The sequence below is a fragment of the Homo sapiens genome, chromosome X (assembly GCF_000001405.40).
Source record: "Homo sapiens chromosome X, GRCh38.p14 Primary Assembly".
Taxonomy (NCBI): domain Eukaryota; kingdom Metazoa; phylum Chordata; class Mammalia; order Primates; family Hominidae; genus Homo; species Homo sapiens.
The window spans coordinates 47,482,387-47,494,952 of NC_000023.11; the positions used below are offsets into that span (position 1 = coordinate 47,482,387).

Consider the following 12,566-nt stretch of genomic DNA (forward strand, 5'->3'; position numbering starts at 1 on the left):
TTGATCCATGTCATAACATCTCCATATTTATCTCAATGCTTAAGTGGCCCTAAGTCCGTCTGTTAAACTCACTCCCAGAGCCTTAAGTCCTGAAAACTGCTTCGAGGAACCCCGGCGCTTCTGGACTTGATCTGCACATGCTTAGTGTCAGCTCCGAAGCGGCCGCTCGCCCACAATTACACCTGGTGGGTGCCCTTACACCGCGCCGGTGCGTGCGTGCGCGTGCGCGTGTGCGTCGAAGGAGAGGCGGGCTTTCCAATTTCCTTCAGTGACTCTCAGGCAAGGAACATGGCTGTCTCCTTGGGAGTGTCTCTACGGGAGCCGCCATCTTGGAAGGGCGGTCATTTCTGCCGCGGAGCCCGCGGTCCCCTACTCGATATACCCCTGTGGGATTTTCCAGTGGCCGAGGCACTGGGCCATGGAATGTACCACCAGGCTTCTCCCCTCCGCCGCAGCCTCTAGGAGTTAGTCACCTCCGAGGCCCCGGCGGGCGAGGCGCTTTGCCTCTTCCGCCCTCAGGGTGCCCTCGGCCTCAGGCCGTCCCTACCGGGGAGCCTCCGCCTCTTTAAATATCGCCCAGCCCCCACCCCCAGGAGCAGGTCGCGAGACGCACCCGCCCCCGCCCCTGCCGCCGCACTGCTCTGTGGGACGCGGCGACCCCTCTCCCGCGGCGGCCGGGACCCCGCGCCCACCGCGTCTGGAGCCCACCTGGCGGCCCCACTGGCTACATTTCCGACCTGGACCCCGGCCGGCTGCGGGAAACACTCGGCGTCTCGGCTGTCACCGAACCTGTGCAGTTGCCGCGGGGGGAGTCGTGCGTGTCAGATTTAGGCCAGGAAGCGGAAGTCGCCAGCAGCGAGAGTTTAACCTCTGTGGGCGCAGAGGGTTGCGGGGATTCAGCGCCCGGGACCGTGGATCTGTGCAGGGAGTCATAGGTGTGTGTGACATCAGTGGTGGAACATTTTGGCTCGTTTTCACAATTCAGTCATTATCCTTTCTGCTTTCCTCCTGGAAGCATTAAGGTTGAAGTTTTCTTCTAAAGATCAAAGTTTTGATTTGTTATATTAGTTCGGATTTGTTTGATTTTTGTTTGTGTTCGGTTTCAAGTGCTGATTTGTAACTTTTCTCCCCCCCCCACACACGCCTTTTGACCCCTGAATTATTTAAAAGTCCATTGTTGGAGTGGCAAACATCCTCCGAGACTCAAAGGGCAAGGCCATGGGCGCTTTATTCCGGCTGCTGCTCCAGGAACGTGGGAAAGCAGCGGAGTTTTATTCTAGGGGAAGGAAACAAAGGCGGCCGAGTGCCAGCTGCACGTTTGGTGGGATTTGGTCATCAGGGGTGGACATGCTGCCCAATGGAGCTGTCGGCAGTTTGACCCAGCTTGGTCCGTCGCGTCCTGTTCTAGGAATCGATTATTCAAAGAAGGAATTTAGAGGGACTGCAGAAAATGTTACAGGTCTTAACACCATTTTGCATTTCCGCAAACGAACAAGAAGTTAATCCCTGTGTTAGTGATTTCTAAGCCCATTTGCCTTGTGGCCCAAGAACGTTGAGTTTGAAATTTGATGAAACTTGCCTTAAGGCTCAAGTACGAGGCCAGCTTTCAAAAATGGTTTTGTGCCTTGATTGAAAACACTGTATCTTCTAGTTGTTGGATTTATCGTACTCTGCGGCTCTATTGGTTCAAGCTTGTGCGTTGGGCCTTTTAAAATGTGTGTTTCCTGATAATTCCCTTCAGCTTGTCAACTGGGGGTGATGTGGCAGGGAGAAAGAGAGAGAGGAGAGAGAGAGACTGTACTGGCAGGTTTTCCTTGTGCTATTCAATTTTTGCTTCCTATGTTTTGAAGTTTTATTATTAACTGCAGGTTTCATTACTGAATAGATATAGCCAAATTCCTTCCCCCAAAAGATTATAAAGTTTCCTAGTCCTACCAGCAAAATCATTAAGTTCATTAAGGCAAATCCCCTCCAGCGCTGGATGTTGATGCTGTCTTTAATTTTGTATTTTTCTGACTACTTTGTGCAATTGAGGATTGTTTTGGTCTATTGGCCATTTGGCTTTTCTCTTTTGCAAATGTTCATATCCTTTGTCCAGTTTTCTTTAGGGTGATTTTTCCTTTTCGTATCAATTTGTAAACAGTGTACAAATTACATTGTACATTAGGGATATTAACAGTCTGTCAGTTACACTGTACATTAGGGATATTACATTAGAGATATTAACATCTTTGTCCATTAAGGATATTAACCATCTGTCAGTTACATTGCAGTATTTTTCCCTAAACTCTTTTTGTCTTTTGCATTTTATGTTTTTTTAAATGTGCAATTAGAAAAATTTTATATGGGCTGGGCACAGTAATCCCAGCACCCATCTCTACTAAAAATAAAAAAAAAAATAGCCAGGCGTGGTATCTCAACTAAAAAAAAAAAAAAAAATTGCCGGGCATGGTGTTGGGCGCTTGTAATCCCAGCTACTCGGGAGGTTGAGGCAGGAGAATCGCTTGAACTTGGGAAGTGGAGATTGCAGTGAGCTGAGCTCGGGCCACTGCACTCCAGCCTGGGTGATAGAGCAAGACTTCATCTCAAAAAAAAAAAAGAAAGAAAAATTGTATGTGTAATATGTAACTAGTGAAATGTAGCCTCTGATCAGATATGTCTAAACTTTCTTTTATGGCTTTTGTATATCCCATCTTGCCTAGTTTCACTTCCCTATTCCAGATAGAAAGATAATCTTAACATGTATTTCAGTGTTTTTATTGCTTTAATTTTTTCTACTTTAATCTAGTTGGAATTTACTCTGGTATATGGTATGAAATCAAGATCAAGCTTGAACAAGAAGCCTGTGTCACACTTTTTTCTGTGTCAAATAAAAAGAGACTTTAATTAGAAAGACAGACTATTGCAAAAGGGAGAATGCTCCCATCTCAGAAACCTGAGAGCATCTTGAAACCAAACAGAAAAAGGCTTTTCTTGTAGAGGGTAAGGAGGCAGGCAGAGATAAGCAGAATCTGTGGAAAGGAAGCTGCACAAACAAGGGGGAATGGCCAGTGGGGTCTGCCAGGAAATTGTCCCACAGTGGTGCGCCCATTCCCAGGAGAAGCTGAGAAGCAGGGTCCATTGGGAGGGGAGGAATTTCGACTTTTTTTGATGCTTGCCCAGGCTCGGGGGCAAGCAGAGTTAGGAGCTTGTAGGAAAGAAGCCTGGTTCAAGTTTGGCTAAAGAGCATTTTGTTCCAATTGATCAGTGGAGACAAGCAGTTAGGCTTGTCATCTATGAGGCAAAGAATGGGAATTTGGAGAGTGGGTGTCTGGCCTTCTCATAGGTAAACAGGGGACATCCGTGACTTCTAAGTCATATGGGGAAGGATGGTTCTTTGCAGTAAGCCATTTTCCAGAAAAGCCATTTTCCCTTTGGAGTAAGGGGATTTCTTGACCTGCACTGCTCACCAGGATGAGGTAAAATTCAGTATTGCCAGTTGGCACCATTTATGAAACACACCACCTTGTAACCACTGAATTAAATATTGCTTCTGTCATATAAGTTCACAAATATGCTTAGCTTGACCTGAACTCTATTTTGTGTCTGTAGTCTATTTGATTTCAAGGGATTTTTGTTCTTGCAAATTTATTTTCTAGGAATTCTCTGAAGTTTAAAATCATTTAATCAAAAATGAATGCTACCAACCCGTCCCCCACCCCCCGCAAAAAAAAACAAAAACACAGCAAAACTAAATTGTTGTGACTGGGCGAGGTGGCTCATGCCTATAATCCCAGCATTTTGGGAGCCCAAGGTGGGCAAATAACTTGAGGCCAGCAGTTGGAGACCAGCCTGGCCAACATGGCGAAACCCTGTCTTTACTAAAAAATAAAAAAATTAGCCACCCGTGGTGGCAGGCACCTGTAATCCCAGCTACTTGGGAGGCTGAGGCAGGAGAATTGCTTGAACCCAGGAGGTGGAGGTTGCAATGAGTAGAGATCACGCCACTGCACTCCAGCCTGGGCAACAGAGTGAGACTCTCTCAAAAAAAAAAAAAAAAAGCAAACCCTCAACTATTGCTGGGTGAGGTGGCTCACACCTGTAATCCCAGCACTTTGGGAGGCCCAGGCAGGCAGATCACTTGAGGTCAGGAGTTTAAGACCAGCCTGGCCAACATGGTGAAACCCCATCTCTACTAATAATACAAAAATTGGCACAGTGACGCACGCCTGTAATCCCAGCTACTCGGGAGGCTAAGGCAGGAGAATTGCTTGAACCCGGGAGGCAGAGGTTGCAATGAGCTAAGATCGTGCCACTGCACTCCAGCCTGGGTGACAGAGCAAGACTCTGTCTCAAAAAAAAAAATAAATAAACTATTATGATTTTATTGGAATTATATTTATATGAATATAATAGTTGGGGAGATTTAATGTTTTTATTACATTAAGCCTTTCTTTGTATCTAGGGATTTTATGTGTCTGTTTGATTACGTCTTATATGCTGCAATGATATTTATAATTTTTCTTCTTATAAATCCATCATCTTTTTATCTTTTTTGGTTAAATTTATTTTTTGCATATTTATATTTTTGTTGTCATTAAGACTTATTTTTGCTAGTCCCATCTGGTTACTGCTAGTATAGGAATAACCTATTTTTGTACTTTTCTCTTTTATTTTTATTTTTTGAGATAGGATCTTGCCTTGAAGTTCACTGGCATGATCACAGCTCACTGTAGCCTTAACCTTCCAGGCTCAAATGATCCTCCTTCCTCAGCCTCCCAAGTAGCTGGGACTACAGGTGTGCACTACCAGACCCAGCTAATTTTTAAATTTTTCCGTAGAGATAGGTTCTCCCTATGTTGCCCAGGCTGGTGTCAAACTCCTGGACTCAAGTGATCCTCCCACCTCAGCCTCCCTAATGGCTGGGACTACAGGTGATAATTTTATCTTGTATCCAACTCCTTATCAAAACTATCTACCTATTCTGGTAGCTTCTTATTACAGTTTTTTCCTAGGTTTTCTAATTGTACAGTTGTATCAGATATAGATAATATTTCCTATCTGACATTTGATATATTTCTTCTTTTTTCACTGTATTAGCTGTCTAATAAGGTAGCGTCTAAGCTCATTGGCTATTTATTTTATTTTTTATTATTATTTTTTGAGACAGGGTCTCACTCTGTCACCTAGGCTGGAGTGTAGTGGCACGATCTCTACTCACTGCAGCCTCTACCTCCCAGGCTCAGGTGATCCCCTCACCTCAGCCCTCCAAGTAGCTGGGACTACAGGCATGTACCACCACGCCCAGCTAATTTTTGTATTTGTAGAGACTTGATTTCACCATGTTGCCCAGACTGATCTCAGACTCTTGACCTCAAGGGATCCACCTGCCTTGGCCTCCCAAAGTGCTGGGATTACAGGCATGAGCCACCACGCCTGGCCTGCTGTTTAAATTTAAGTTAAATAAAACTTAAAATTCGGTTTCTCAGTTGCCTAGCCACATTTCAAGTGCTCAGTACCCACATATGGCTAGTGGCTACTGTACTGGATGATGCTAAATATAGAAACATTTCCATCATTGCAGAATGATGGACAATGCTGTATTGGACAATGCTGAAATAGAGCCTCAGTTGTATTGGACAATGCTGAGATAAATCCTTCAAAATAATGTTGAGTAATAGATGTGATAGAAAACATCCCTATCTTGTTGCCAGTGTTCATGGAAATGATTTAAACATTTTACCGTTTAGTATAAAGTTTTCTGGCAAATTTTGGAAAATAGTGTTGTCCATTTTAAGTAGTTTTCTTTTTTTTTTTTTTGAGACAGAGTCTCGCTCTGTCACCCAGGCTGGAGTGCAGTGGTGACATCTCAGCTCACTGCAGCCTCCACCTCCCGGGTTCAAGTGATTCTCGTGCCTCAGCCTCCTGAGAAGCTGGGACTACAGATATACATCACCATGCCAGGCTAATTTTTATTTTTATAGAGATGAGGTCTCAGTCTGGTCTCAAACTCCCAGCTTCAAGTGATCCTCCCATCTTGGCCTCTCAAAGTCCTGGGATTACAGGCGTGAGCCACCCTGCCCCTCCAGTCTCTTTATTTTATTATTATTGTTATTTTTAGACTGAGTCTCACTCTATTGCCCAGGCTAGAGTGCAGTGGCGTGATCTCAGCTCACTACAACCTCCGCCTCCTGGGTTCAAGTGATTCTCCTGCCTCAGCCTCCCAAGTAGCTGGGATTACAGGTGCCTGCTACCATGCCCAGCTCATTTTTGTATTTCTAGTAGAGACAGGGTTTCACCATGTTGGCCAGGCTAGTCTCGAACTCCTGACCTCAGGTGATTCACCTGCCTCGGCCTCCCAGAGTGCTGGGATTACAGGCATGAGCCACCACACCCAGCCCCAGTCTCTTTATTTTAAATGTGCTTCTAGGCTGGGCATGGTGGCTCATGCCTGTAATCCCAGCACTTTGGGAGGCCGAGGTGGGTGGATCACCTGAGGTCAGGAGTTCGAGACCAGCCTGACCAACATAGAGAAACCCTGTCTCTACTAAAAATACAAAATTAGCCGGGCATGGTGGCGGATGCCTGTAATCCCAGCTATTTGGGAGGCTGAGGCAGGAGAATTGCTTGAACCCAGGAGGCGGAGGTTGCAGTGAGCCGAGATCACGCCATTGCACTCCAGCCCGGGCAACAAGAACAAAACTCCATCTCAAAAAAAAAAAAGTGCTTCTAGTAAATAACACATAACTTTTGTTTTATAACCCAATGTTACAGTCCCTCTCTTATAGGAGAACCCAATCCATTCAGTTTATCAGTGATATGCCTGTTTTTGTGTGTTCCATCGGACTTTGTTTCCTTTTTTCGATTTTGTTATTGTTTCCACCTTTTCAATTTTCTTACATTTGTTGGCTCTCTCAAGCTTCTGTTTATTCCCCTTCTCCCTCCCTTAGTAATTTGGAAGTTCTACTCTGCTTATCAATTCTTCTGATGATTATCTTTCCATTCCTTATAAGCATAATTCACATTTTCTCTATTGGTAGATTAAGCACACACATGGGCGCACACACACACACACACACACACACACACACACACACACAGGTGTGTTACTGGCCTTTACTCCTAATTTCTCAGGAGAATGAACCATTTAGAATGTTTTTACCTCTTCATTCTGCCCTCACCCAAAATTTCTGTTCTTAGAAAAGAACAGATCTTTTTTTTTCTGAGTTTTTTTTTTTTTTAATTAGAAGAGACGCTGGAAGCATGATGACAGCAGCGTAGTTTTCACTCTCTTGTTATGCCAGCATACAGACAGAGCAACCAGATGACAAAATCAAAACCCATGGGTAATATTTACGGTGAGGCCAGTAGACACAGTGTCCCCAGTGTGGCAGATTTTCTGCAGATAGGGCTGCCAGCTGTATTTCCAACCCTGTATGTGTTTGCCACCCTCCCATCAAGACATGGTGCCTATTTTTTCATCCTTTGTGTCTGGGCTGGCCTTGTGTTCCATTTGACCAATAAGGTATGGTAGAAATGGCATTCTGGGACTTCTGAGCCCAACCTTAAAAGACATTGAACTTTTGCTTTAGTGAGAGGGGAATCAAGATACCCTGTAAAGAGGTCTGTGCTGTCCTTCTGAAGACAGAGGTCCTGGAAGATGAGACACTTTTTAAAAATAGGTCATGCAGCGCTGTGGCAGCCACCCAGCTAGCTCAGTTGGTAGAGCATGAGACTCTTAAATATAGGCCATGTACATAACTGAGGCCCCAGCTGGCAGCTAGCACTGAGGTCTCAGTCGTATCATGAAATTATCTTGCATCCTCCAGTACCATTCCAGCTTCTCCAGGCATCATATAGAGAAGAAACAAGTCTGGGCGTGGTGGTTCACACCTGTAATCCCAGCACTTTGGTAGGCCGAAGCAGGCAGATCATCTGAAGCAGTGAAGCAAGGAGTTTGAGACCAGCCTGGGTAGCAAAGCAAGACCTCATCTCTACTAAAATATATTAGTCAGGCACAGTGGCACATGCTGGTAGTCCCAGCTACTCAGGAGGCTGAGGTGGGAGGATTGCTGTGCCCAGGATTTTGAGGCTGCAGTGAGCTATGATCGCACTACTGTACTCCAATGGTCAACAGAACAAGATCCCACCTCTTAAAAAAAAGAAGAAGAAGAAGAAACGAGCCATCCCCACTGAGCCATGCCCAGATTCGTGAGCAATAAAATAGTTATTAATCCACTAAGTTTTGGTGTGGTTTACTTACACAGCAATAGATAGCTGAAATATCCATGAATATCAAAATACACATGAGTAAGCCCAAGTCACCAACAGCCACAACAACTTCATGGTACAATTATCTGTATAGGAAAAAGCAGGGGGAAGTAAGCAGTATTTGCCAGACCTGAGAACACAATACCAAAACAGCCAATGGGCATGGCAGACCAACTTGAATTCAGCAGCTGAAACTGGGAGGAATTTTGCAAAATTCAGCAACGAGTGAGAGGGGTCTGCAGGAAGGTTGGAAGGGGTTGGAGCAGACTATAATAATTCCTAGGAACTCTTTTTTCTTTCTTTCTTTTCTTTTCTTTTCTTGGATCATGGCCGGAGTGCAGTGCCATGATCTTGGCTCACCTAAGCCTCAACCTCCCAGGCTCAAGCAATCCTCTCCCCGCAGCCTCCCGAATAGCTGAGACTACAGGCACATGCCATCACACTGAGCTCATTTCTTAAATTTTTAGTGGAGACAAAGTCTAGCTATGTTGCCCAGGCTGGTCTTGAACTCCTGAGCTCAAGTGATCCTCCTGCCTCAACTTCCCAAAATGCCAGGATTACAGGCATGAGCCACCATGCCCAGCCTTCTATGAACTCTTAAGACGGACTGTGCTTGGGGGGTTCCCAGGACCAACCTCAGGTTCACTGATTGACTATGAAGGACTCAGAATTCAGCAATGGAAAAGGGCACATAGGGCAGAGTCCAGGGGAAACAAGGATCAAGCTTTGGGTTCGCCCTTCTTGGTGTAGTCATACGGCCAGTGCTTAATTCTCCTAGCAAGATGTGGGGTAACATACATGAAATATTACCAACCATGGGCTCTCACTTTAGCCTCGGTGTCTGTGGTTTTTATTTGGAGTCAGTTTCAGGCATGGCCAACTACCTGTGTGGTTGACCTTACTCAGTCCTTCCAAGGTTCACGCTGATACTGCACAGCCCAAGACTCACCAAGAATCACAGCTATCTGGCATGGCTCATGCACTCAAGTAAACAAAGATTTCTTAACAGGCAGTATATTCCAAGGGTTTAGAGCAGTGGTCCCCAACCTTTTTGGCACCAGGGACCAGTTTTGTGGAAGACAATCTTTCCATGGACATGGAGCGGGGTGGAGGGGGATGGTTTTGGGATGAAACTGTTCCATCTCAGATCACCAGGCGTTAGATTCTCATAAGGAGTGTGCAACCTAGATCCCTTGCATGCGCAGTTCACAATAGAGTTTGTGCTCCTATGAGAATCTAATGCTGCCACTGATCTGACAGGAGGTGGAGCTCAAGCAGTATCGCTCCCTTGCCTGCTTCTCACCTCCTGCTGTGCGGCCCAGTTCCTAACAGGCCTTGGACTCATACTGGTCTGTGGACTGGCAGTTGGGGACCCCTGACTTACAGGTTATATCCCAGGAGCTGGGGCAAGGGCCAAACCTTTCCTTGGAATGCACAAGGTTTAAACAACCCAGACCTCCTAAGTTAATTCTTTACTGTATGATGACATACCAGGGCTGTCTTCTAGGACAGCAGACCACACTAAGAAACTACTGGGAGTGAAACAAAAATTAAGCAAGATAGGGCAATAGTAAATGTAATTTTTTTTGTTTTGTTTTTTTTCTGAGATGGTCTTGCTCTGTTGCCCAGGCTGGAGTGCAGTGGTGCGATCATAGCTCACTGCAGCCTCATCCTCCCCAGGCTCAAGTGATACTCCCACCTCAGCTTCCTGAGTAGCTGAGACAACGGGTGCATGCCATCACAGCTGGCTAATTTTTTGTATTTTTTTTGTAGAGATGGGGTTTCACTGTGTTGCCCAGGCTGGTCTCAAACTCCTGGGCTCAAGCAGTCCACCCACCTCGGCCTTTGAAATTGCTGGGATTATAGGCATTCGCCACTGCACCCAGCCTCTCATGTTTGTTTTGTTTTGTTTTTATTATTATTTAATTGACAAAGAAAAATTGTATATATTTATGGTATTAATAGAGGTAGAGGGAAAAAACAGTCTTTCTTTCTTTTCTTTTTTTTTTTGTTTTTTGAGATGGGGTCTTGCTCTGTCTCCCAGGCTGGAGTGCAGTGGCGTGATCTTGGCTCACTACAACCTCCACCTCCCGGGTTCAAGCGATTCTCCTGCCTCAGCCTCCTGAGTAGCTGGGATTACAGGCACCCGCCATCATGCCCGGCTAATTTTTGTATTTTTGTAGAGACGGGGTTTTACCATGTTGGCCAGGCTAGTCTTGAACTCTTGACCTCGGGTGATCTGCCCACCTCGGCCTCCCAAAGTGCTGGGATTACAGGCATGAGCCACCACGCCTGGCCGAAACAGTGTTTCTCTTACCCTAACACAGCCAACATAACACTTCTGACATTAGATTCTCCAGTGGATACCACCTGGGTGTCCTCCAATTCAATTCTGACGCTACCTGAAAATACTGCCATTAGAGGGCTCAATACCACAAGACTGCCCCCACTTCAGATGCCAATTGTAAGTCCCAGGTTGTGACCTACACGTCTGACCAACCAGCTATAAATCAATGACCCCCTCTTTGGGTTCAATTAATTTGCTAGAGCAGCTCCTAGAATTTAGGGAAACATTACTTACATTTACCTATTTATTATCAAGGGTATTACAAAGGATGCAGATGAATAGCAGATGGAAGAGATGCATAGAGTGAGGAATGGGGGAAGGGGTGCAGAGCTTCCATGCCCTCTCTAGTCATGCCACCCTCTAGGAATCTCACTGTGTTCAACTATCTGGAAGCTCATCCAAAGCCAGTTCTTTTGGGCTTTTATGGAAACTTCATTATGTAGGCATGATTGGTTATGTAATTGGCCATTGGTGATCAATTCAACATTTTGCCCTTCTCCCCTCCCCAGAGTTTATGGTGAGTCTGCAAGTCTCAATCCTGTAATCATGTCTTGGTCTTTCTGGTGACCATCCACCATCCTGAGGCTATCTGGGGGCCACCAGTCATCATCATCTCATTAGTGTAAAAAGTCACTCATCACTCTGGAGATTCCAAGGCTTTTAGGAACTCTGTGCCAGGAAATGGGGAATGTATTAGACTGTTCTTGTACTGCTATAAAGAAATACCTGAGACTGGGTGATTTATAAAGAAAAGAGGTTTAATTGGCTCACAGTTCCACAGGCTGTACAGGAAGCATAGCGGCTTCTGCTTCTGGGGAGGCCTCAGGAAACTTACAACCACGGCAGAAGTCAAAGGGGAAGCAGGCATGTCTTACATGGCCAGCGCATGAGGGAGAGAGGGTGGAGGTTCCATACACTTTTAAACAACCAGATCTTTTGAGAACTTAGCACCAAGGGGATGGTGCTAAGCCATTCATAAGAAACTGTCTCCATGATCCAGTCACCTTCCACCAGGGCCCTCTTCCAATACTGAGGATTACAATTCAACATGATATTTGGGCAGGGACACAGATCCAAACCATATCAGGTGATGAAGACCAAATATATATATATCTTATTATAAATCATAATATCACAGGAGCACAACATGATGTTATGAAATATGTATACATTGTAGAATGGCCAAATCAAGCTGATTAACATATACATAACCTCAAATATTTATCTGTGGTGAGAGCCCTTAAAATCTATTTTCAGCAGTTTTCATGTATACAATACATTGTATATTAGCCTGTTTTCATACTGCTATAAAGAACTGCCTGAGACTGGGTAATTTATAAAGGAAAGAGGTTTAATTGACTCACAGTTCCGCATGGCTGGGGAGGCCTCAGGAAACTTACAATCATGGCAGAAGGTGAAGGGGAAGCAAGGCACCTTCCTCACAAGGCGGTAGGGAGAAGTGCTGAGCGAAGGGGGAAGAACCCATAATAAAACCATCAGCTCTTGTGAGAACTCACTCACTATCATGAGAACAGCATGGAGGAAACTGCCCCCATGATTCAATTACTTCCACTTGGTGTCTCCCTTGACACATAGGGATTATGGGAATTACAATTCAAGATGAGATTTAGGTGGGGGCACAAAGCTTAACCATATCAATTGTTATTAACTATAGTCACCATGTTGTACAATAGATCTCTTGAACTTGCATATACATTTCCTTTGGCTACTGTAACAAAATACCTTAAACTTGGTGGCTTGAAACAACAGAAGTTTATTTTCTCATGGTTATAAAGGCCAGAAGTCTGAAATCAATATCACTGGGCCAAAATCAAGTATCAGCAGGGCTCTGCTCCCACCAGAGGCTGCCAGGATTCCTTGGCTTATGGCCACATCACTCCAGCCTCCGCTTCTGTAGTCACATTGTCTTCTCTTTTGTGCCATCTCCTTCTACCTCTCTCTAATAGGA

General features: G+C 45.1%; 1 protein-coding gene and 1 long non-coding RNA gene across 33 annotated transcripts in view, besides 2 other annotated features; one reads left to right on the forward strand and one right to left on the reverse strand.

Moving 5' to 3' along the window:
- ZNF41 (zinc finger protein 41) overlaps window positions 1–836 on the reverse strand; it is a 38,045-nt gene extending 37,209 nt beyond the window's left edge. For 13 of the 32 annotated variants that reach the window (NM_001324141.2, NM_001324145.2, NM_001324149.2 and 10 more), the window contains exon 1: window positions 709–836. The gene's annotated coding sequence lies outside the window, so the exon portion shown is untranslated. Of the gene's footprint in view, window positions 1–72; window positions 561–708 lie in introns of those variants that run through there. The other 19 variants (NM_001324143.2, XM_047442483.1, XM_047442481.1 and 16 more) reach the window with 3 other exon arrangements.
- Window positions 271–570: an enhancer, noted in NCBI's record as "active region_29593". NCBI's record gives its function as "activates an Ori minimal core promoter by ATAC-STARR-seq in GM12878 lymphoblastoid cells {active_cell/tissue: GM12878}" and the evidence as "EXISTENCE:reporter gene assay evidence [ECO:0000049][PMID:35858748]".
- Window positions 330–2,841, forward strand: LINC01560 (long intergenic non-protein coding RNA 1560). The gene has a single exon (NR_126059.1). It is a non-coding gene; the product is annotated as a long intergenic non-protein coding RNA 1560 (long non-coding RNA).
- Window positions 561–850: a silencer, noted in NCBI's record as "silent region_20804". NCBI's record gives its function as "represses an Ori minimal core promoter by ATAC-STARR-seq in GM12878 lymphoblastoid cells {active_cell/tissue: GM12878}" and the evidence as "EXISTENCE:reporter gene assay evidence [ECO:0000049][PMID:35858748]".